This window comes from Homo sapiens, chromosome 17, assembly GCF_000001405.40.
Source record: "Homo sapiens chromosome 17, GRCh38.p14 Primary Assembly".
NCBI classification, from domain to species: Eukaryota; Metazoa; Chordata; class Mammalia; order Primates; family Hominidae; genus Homo; species Homo sapiens.
Window position 1 is genome coordinate 8,087,919 of NC_000017.11, and position 7,944 is coordinate 8,095,862.

Consider the following 7,944-nt stretch of genomic DNA (forward strand, 5'->3'; position numbering starts at 1 on the left):
CATTGGCTACAGTGCCAGGCACCCCTACTAAGCAGGGCCATGGGCAGTGAGTGACTTGCATTGGTTCTGAGGCCACTGGTGGGCGGGGGAGGGGAGGGGGAGGGGCACTAAGTGGCAGCGCAGCTGGCCAGCCTCCAGGCCATTCCTCTCTGGGAAATGGGACAGGTAGTGGCCACAGTGAGAAAGCTGGCCTGTCCTTCTGCCCCAGGGCCCAGAGTCTGTGACTGGAAGGGTGGGAGGTGTTGAAGCTAGGGCTCGGGGACCACATGGGTGCCCAAAGGCCTGAAGATGCTGCGGGGAGGAACGATCAGGGTAGGAGAAGGGGATCTGTTGCTTCCTGTGGGGCCAGGATCCACTGGTGAGGGATTGGAGTTGGATATAAAATCAGAAGCCCAAAAAAAAAAAAAAAAAAACTAAATTAGAAGACAGAGTGAAATCTGGGGCATAAGAATTAAGTTAAATAGCTGGGCGTGGTGGCTCACGCCTGTAATCCCAGCACTTTAGAAAGCCAAGGCAGGTGGGTCACCTGAGCTCAAGAGTTCGAGACCAGCCTGGCCAACATGGTGAAACCTTGTCTCTACTAAAAATACAAAAATTAGCCAGGCGTGGTGGCATGCGCCTGTAGTCCCAGCTACTTGGGAGGCTGAGGCAGGAGAATCGCTTGAACTCAGGAGGCGGAAGTTGCAGTGAGTTGAGATCGTGCCACCGCACTCCAGCCTGGGCAACAGAGCAAGACTCCGTCTCCAAAAAAAAAAGACAAAAGAATTAAGTTAAATAATGGATTAATATGATCAATATTTTGTGGTATAATCATAAAATAGAATTCTACCCAGGAATAAAAAGAATGAACTGCAATGCGGATGAGTCTCACAAAGATGATACTGAGCAAAAAGAGCCAGACATTAAAGGGGATACGTTCTGTTATCCATTGATAGGAACTTCCAGAACCAGCAAAACTGAGCAATTCTCAGACAACCTCTACTGGTGAGTATCCCTGGCAGAGGGAGGCCATATAGGCTGCTGGAGGTGTTCTTATCTTGATCTGAGGGGCGTCTAGGGTACTTCATTCATTTCATTATGTGTTATCCTTTAATTTCATAAAGTACATACCCTCACTTCCCTCCCAAAAAAGAATGAAGCTAGGAAGAGGGCTGGAGGCAGGGCTGAGCTCCAGTGGAACTGTGTTTGTTGGGAACCAGGTCGTTCCTCCCTCAGATATGTAGTGAGCACGGTGCACGGCGTTCTAGGCACTGCAGAGGCAGAGAAGAAATGAAACATACATGGAGCTTACGGAATAGCTGGGAAAGAAGTGAAAGAAACAGTAAACAAGAATTTGTTCACTATAATTTTGGATACTAAGTGCTCTGAAGAAAATAAGCGTGGGAGGTTGGGATTGGGAACTAGTTGCTGATAGAATCACAGAAGTCAGAGCCGCAGGATAGGGAGAAGGTGTTAGGAGTAAGGTGAAGAGCATTATGAGAGAGTCAGAGATAGACTCTCCAAAGATAGGATTTGGGACCCAGGGAGAGTGAGGAGGCAGGCACGTTCCTATTCCCTTTTTCTGGACCTGTCCTCTTTCCTTTCACCTCCGAGGAGCAGCTTCTGTCAACCAGGAAGCATAGCCCTGCTTTCCTCCCTGATGGCACGCTTCCATCACCATCGAAGGAAGGTCATTCAATGCCCAGGCCAAGTTAGGGTCAGAGGGGGCTGGGATTGTGAGATGAAGAGAAGGTTCCAGTAGGTTCCAGACTGGATGTGGAATGGGGTCGAAACTGCAATTCAGGTTTAGGTTAGAGACACAGATGTGGCTGGAGTTGGGGATTGAAATGATCTTTTCCAGACCCAAATCTGTTCACATCACTCTCTATGTTCCCTCCTCCCAACCCTGATCAAGCCTGGCAGTGGCTCCTCTTTACCTTTGGGACAGTGACACCATCCCCTCCCGTGGCCCCCACGGCCTGCCTGATTGGCTTCACCCCTCACATTCCCCTTTGCTCTCTTCTGTCTGGGACCACGTGCCTTTCATTCATTCATCAACAGACACTGGCCGAACCCCTACTGTGTGTTCAGCGCTGTGTCAGGTCCTGAAAATACAATGCGATCAAAGCAAACCCCTGCACCCATGGAGCTTGCCTTCAAGTGAGGGAAGCAGACAATATTACCTAGTAACCAAATACATTAAATAGTATGTTAAATAGTGATAAGTGCTGAAGAGAAAAGAGAGAACAGGGAAGGATAATATAAAAAATAGAGGAGTGCCGGGCATGGTGGCTCATGCCTGTAATCCCAGCACTTTGGGAGGCTGAGGTGGGCGGATCACCTGAGGTCAGGAGTTCGGGACCAGCCTGACCAACATGGAGTAACCCCGTCTCTACTAAAAATAAAAATTAGCCGGGCATGGTGGCGCATGCCTGTAATCCCAGCTACTCGGGGGCTGAGGCAGGAGAATAGCTTGAACCCAGGAAGCAGAGGTTGCAGTGAGCCAAGGTCATGCCATTGCTATCAAGCCTGGGCAACAAAAGCGAAAATCCATCTCAGAAAAAAGAAAAGGAGGATATTTTAGATACAGAGTGGCCAAGGAGGGCTCCTTGGGAAGAAGACTTTTGAGTAAAGACCTGAAGGAAGTGAAGTCAGCTCGTCACCATCCCAGGGCCTTGGCACATGCTGTTCCCTCTCTACCTCTCAAACTGAGGTCACGTTTCCTCTTCCTCCTGATCTTAGCTCAATAATTGCTTTTTCCAGGAAAGCCAAATTTCACTATACATGGCTCTCACAGCACTATAGCTAACATCTTTGATTGATGTCTGTTTTCTCTAATAAATTAGTCCATACTTTTTTTTGGTTTTGTCCCCATCTCCTGGTGTCATACTTGGTACCTGGGAGACACCGAAAACATAGTTGAATGGGTTAATGACAAGGACAAGGTCAGGGCTGGGGATTGAATCGATGATGGCTTTGGAGTTATGGTGAAGATCCGAAGAGAGCTGACTTGGGCTCAGGGTGAGAGAAGGGGCAAGGCGTGGTGTAGGGGAGGGAAAGGGGTTGGGTGGGGAGGGAGGGAGGAGAGGGGAGAAGGCTGAGGATGAGGGTTGTGCCCAGCTCTGGGTGGCAGGGCTGGCTGTCCTGGGCTGCAGACAGAAGCCGTCCAGCTGGATCTCCCCCCTGGGATCTCCCTCCTCAACCACCTCGATGACTCTTGGAGGATGCTGGGAGCCTGAAGATGCAAATCTTAAGATGCAAATTCCATGCAAATTCTCCCAGCTTCCTCTTTCTAATCTCTCCCCTTTGCCCTGTGTCCCCAGGGGGCTGCTGAGGCTTGGTGAGAAGCAGGGCAGTGGACTGGGCAAACTGAGTCATATCCTGCTACCAATAGGTCTCCTCCAACCCAAATCCCAGGGTGGCCCTGGGTTTGCTCAGGGCTCCAGTGTGGAGTGGGAATTAGGTTCCTGAGGGAGACGGAGATGGAGGCAGGGATGCTGAGGATGTCAATGTGGCTGGGGCAGGGACAGGGACGGGATCAGGCATGAGGATGTAGATGGGGCACTCCCCAGCTATGACCAAAACGTAGACGCGTGACTCTTGATAGGTGCTCATTGGGCTGAAGAACTGGTTCTCCTGGACCAGGGGCGGGAGCCAGTGAGGAGGAGAGGTTTCTGGGAAGGATTCACACTCACTGGGGTTGCTAACTAGGGGCCATCCACACAGGAAGCTGAGTTCTCACTGCTGGGGTATCCCCCGTGCCTGACCCCACCCCAAGCCCTGCAAGGCAAGGAGCAACTAACTCCTGGGGACCCACTCTCCTAAGACACAGAGAAAGAAAAATCAAATCACGCCACTCCCCTGCTTAAAGTTCACCAGAGCTTAAAATGGGGTTGTCCGTAGAAATGAATCCAAGGGCCAGGCGCGGTGGCTCATGCCCATAATCCCAGCACTTTGGGAGGCCAACACAGGCGGATCATGAGGTCGGGAGTTCAAGACCAGCCTGACCAACATGGTAAAACCCCGTCTCTACTAAAAATACAAAAATTAGCCGGGCGTTGTGGCACGCGCCTGTAATCCCAGCTATTCAGGAGGCTGAGACGGGAGAATCGCTTGAACAGGGGAGGTGGAGATTGCAGTAAGCCAAGATAGCGCCACTGCACTCCAGCCTGGGCAATAGAGAGAGACTCCGTCTCAAAAAAAAAAAAAAAGAAAGAAAGAAAGAAAGAAAAGAGACGAATCCAAGGACTTATCATGTCTACAAGACCATGCCTTCCCGACACCTTTTTCCAGCCACTCTGGCCTTCTTGCTGTACCCAGAACATGTGTCCTTCAGGACCCTTGCATTTGCCATTCCTGGGTTTGTAATACCCTTCCCCCAAGCTGTTCAAGCTGTTTCAACCAAGCTGTTCAAGCTGTTTCAAGAGTGGTTTTGTTTGTTTGTTTGTTTGTTTGTTTGTTTTGAGACGGTGTCTCACTCTGTCACCTAGGCTGGAGTGCAGTGGTGCAATCTCAGCTCACTGCAACCTCCACCTCTCAGGCTCAAGCGATCCTCCCACCTTGGTCTCCCGAGTAGCTGGGACCACAGGCGTAGTCCACCTGGCTAATTTTTTGTATCTTTTGGTAGAGATGGGATTTTGCCACGTGGCCGGGACTGGTCTCAAACTCCTGAGCTCAAGCGATTTGCCTGTCTCAGCCTCCCAAAGTGCTGGGATTACAGGAGTGAGCCACCGCACCCGACCCTAAGCGTGTGTTGTTCATGTCATCCAGGTCTCAACTCTAGTGTCACCTCCTCAGAGTCCCTCCCTGACCACCGTCCCTCATGTTTCCCCGCCCTCCGCCCTCCATCATGCTACCCTGCCACCTGGTTGTATCTCCAACTGCACTTGCCACCGCCCAAAAGGATCTTTATCTGTTTATTGATGCGTTTATTGTCTGTCTCTCCAGCACCCATAAGAAGGGTGAAAGAAGGGGTTGTGCCTGGGGAGCTCACAGCTGCTCTCCCAAAATCTAGAACAGCATCTAGGCAGACAAGAGCCACGAAGCAAAGCGATGCTAGGATGTCAACGCTGGAAAGGGCTTTTCAGGTCTTCTCGTCCCACTCATGTATCTGACAGGTTGGGACCACTGAGGCCGAGGGACTTGCTCAAGATCAGCTGGGGAAGGAGGCTGGTGTGCTTCCCATTATACCAGTTGACCTTTTAGACTGACCAAAAAACAGTGGAGGGCAGAGTGTAAGCTGAGGGGAGCTCCTGACCTCACAGGGCTCCAGAAACTTGATGTGAGCCTCCTCCCCATGTCCTGTCCCCAGAGTCAGGGCAGGACATCCTAAGTGTACCAGGTGTGTCTGCCCAATAAATCTCTTTCCAAGCTGCCTTTCTGGAAAACCAGATTCCAATGACCCGCCCTGGTCCCTCCCTCTCCGGCTCAGGGGCATTTTTCAGGATAGGCATGCCTACTAATGCTGCCTTTGTGGAGGCCCAAGGAGTGTTCATCCTCTTGGGGGACAGGGTGCCTGAGCATGCCCATGCCCTTTTCACTGCTGCTTCCAACCCCAGGGTCAAAGGGGCCTGCACTGCGCACCCAACAATAATACTGGCAGCTGTCACTTACTGAGGAGCTATCACGTCTCTGTCATTGAATCAGATCCTTTGCATACACCATTTTAAAATATGAAACAGGCCAGGCGCGGTGGCTCACGCCTATAATCCCAGCACTTTGGGAGGCCGAGGTGGGTGGATCGCCTGAGGTTGGGAGTTTGAGACCAGCCTGACCAACATGGAGAAACCCCGTCTCTACTAAAAATACAAAATTAGCCGGGGTGGTGTGGTGGTGCATGCCTGTAATCCCAGCTACTCGGGAGGCTGAGGCAGGAGAATCACTTGAACCCGGGAGGCGGAGGTTGCGGTGAGCCGAGATCGTGCCATTGTACTCCAGTCTGGGCAACAAGAGCGAAAATCCGTCTCAAAGAATAATAAATAAATAAATAAATAAATAAATAAATAAATAAATAAATAAATAAAACAAATACATAGCTCTATTTAAAATGCTTGGCAGCCAGGCGCAAGGTCAAAGGGGCCTGCACTGCGCACCTAGCCTCAGCCTCACCCTCACCCCTGGTGGCCACAAGGGGGCGCCCCTGAGTATTTCTTAGTCCTTTGATTTGTTCTACAGTGAACAAAACTGGTGATTTGGGATAAGTCCTTAGGTTGCAATCTGCATGTGAGATATCTGCAAACACACCTCTTTAGCACAGTGGTATGAGGATCCTCTTCTCCAAGGATCACAGATGCAGAAAGTGAAAATTCAACAGCCAAAGACAGCCTTCCCCAACACACACACAGACACACACACACACACACACGCGCGCGCGCGAGCAAAGGGAGAAGTGGTTTGGTTGACAACAGAGAAGATTCTTGGGCTGGGATGTAATGGGACAGTTGGCCGCCCCAGAATTTCAATATGCCAGGGCTTTGGGATGGCAATTTAGTTAGGGAGGAAATGTGGTTAGGCGTGGAGCTCTTCGTGGAGCTGCGGTTGTACTGAAAACACATGTTGTTTTCTTTTCTTTTCTTTTCTTTTCTTTGAGATGGAGTCTCTGTCACCAGGCTGGAGTGCAGTGGCACGATCTCGGCTCACTGCAATCTTCGCTTCCCAGGTTCAAGCAATTCTCCTGCCTCAGCGTCCGGAGTAGCTGGAACTACAGGCGCACACCACCACACCCAGCTAATTTTTGTATTTTTAGTAGAGACAGGGTTTCACCATGTTGGCCAGGATGGTCTCGCTCTCTTGACCTCATGATCCACCCGCCTCAGCCTCCCAAAGTGCTGGGATTACAGGCGTGAGCCACCGCGCCTGGCTGTATATTTCTTAGATGATTTAAGATATTTCTTAGATTCTTAGATGATTTCTTTGTTTTCTTAGACAATGGCAGCCCCAGCCAAGGCAGCCTGTGGATCCCCACTAACTCCAGGAACGAACACTGACCATGGTCTGCACTGGGGCTGAGACACACTGCAGCCCGCAAAGCCCCCAGCCACGTGAAGCTCTGGGTGGGTCGCCTATTACGTTGACACTAAAACCATCTGATCCCCCTACCACGGGCACCACAGGGATGGGGGAGCAGTTACCCTGTCATTGTCCAAAGACACTGTGATCCCGCCAGAGAGAGGCCATGACCAGGGTTGGGTCAGGCACAGAATTTGACTCAGGTGGCAGAGGAAGGAAGGAAGGTGGGCTGGATCTGAGGTCTGGGGAAGCAGAAAACCAGGGTGTTGGGCGGCTGTGGATTAAGAAGACCGGGGAGACTGACTTGAGGCTGCACAGATCTCTATGTTTAAGGGCTGTGGGGCTGGAAGGGAGAAAATCAGACTCCCCATATTACCAGCCATGTGGCCAGGATCAACTAGACTATACCACAGTAACAACCCCCAAATTCCAGTGGCTTCACCTGACAAGTTTATTTCTCACTCAGTCCATGTCTGGCTCAGTCAGCGGGGGCCTCTTCTACAGTCCCTTGGACACACAAGCAAGTGCCATCTCAACATGTGCTTCCGGAAGGGAGAGGCAGAGAGAAGGAAATCAGGGGTCTCCGTGTGGCCTGGAGACGATCCTCATCCCTTCTGCTCCCAACTCAACCAAAACTCATCCTGTGACTGTACCCATCCACAAGAGGGCCAGAGGCTGAGCCTTCCATGTGTCCAGGAGGAGAACTGGATTTCGGTGGCAACGTTAACAATTACCCAGACTCTGAGGCTTCACAAAATACTCACTATTCCACTTCTCAGTCCCCTGAATCCAGACATTCCCTCACCTCCTGATGATGCACTCTGGAAGGTGAGGGCAGGAATATATGGCTTGGCTGGATAGTGCGTTGAGCCGGGACACTTCTGTCTCCAGAATAGATGATCCACGGATCCACTGCTGCCCCTCACTGCAATCCCCTGGCACCCCCAACCTCACCCA

The 7,944-nt window shown here is 51.1% G+C and overlaps 1 non-coding gene across 1 annotated transcript, besides 1 other annotated feature; it reads left to right on the forward strand.

Moving 5' to 3' along the window:
- Positions 138 to 229, forward strand: MIR4314 (microRNA 4314). Its single transcript, NR_036201.1, has one exon. It is a non-coding gene; the product is annotated as a microRNA 4314 (primary transcript).
- Positions 6,001 to 6,080: a silencer, noted in NCBI's record as "silent region_8150". NCBI's record gives its function as "represses an Ori minimal core promoter by ATAC-STARR-seq in GM12878 lymphoblastoid cells {active_cell/tissue: GM12878}" and the evidence as "EXISTENCE:reporter gene assay evidence [ECO:0000049][PMID:35858748]".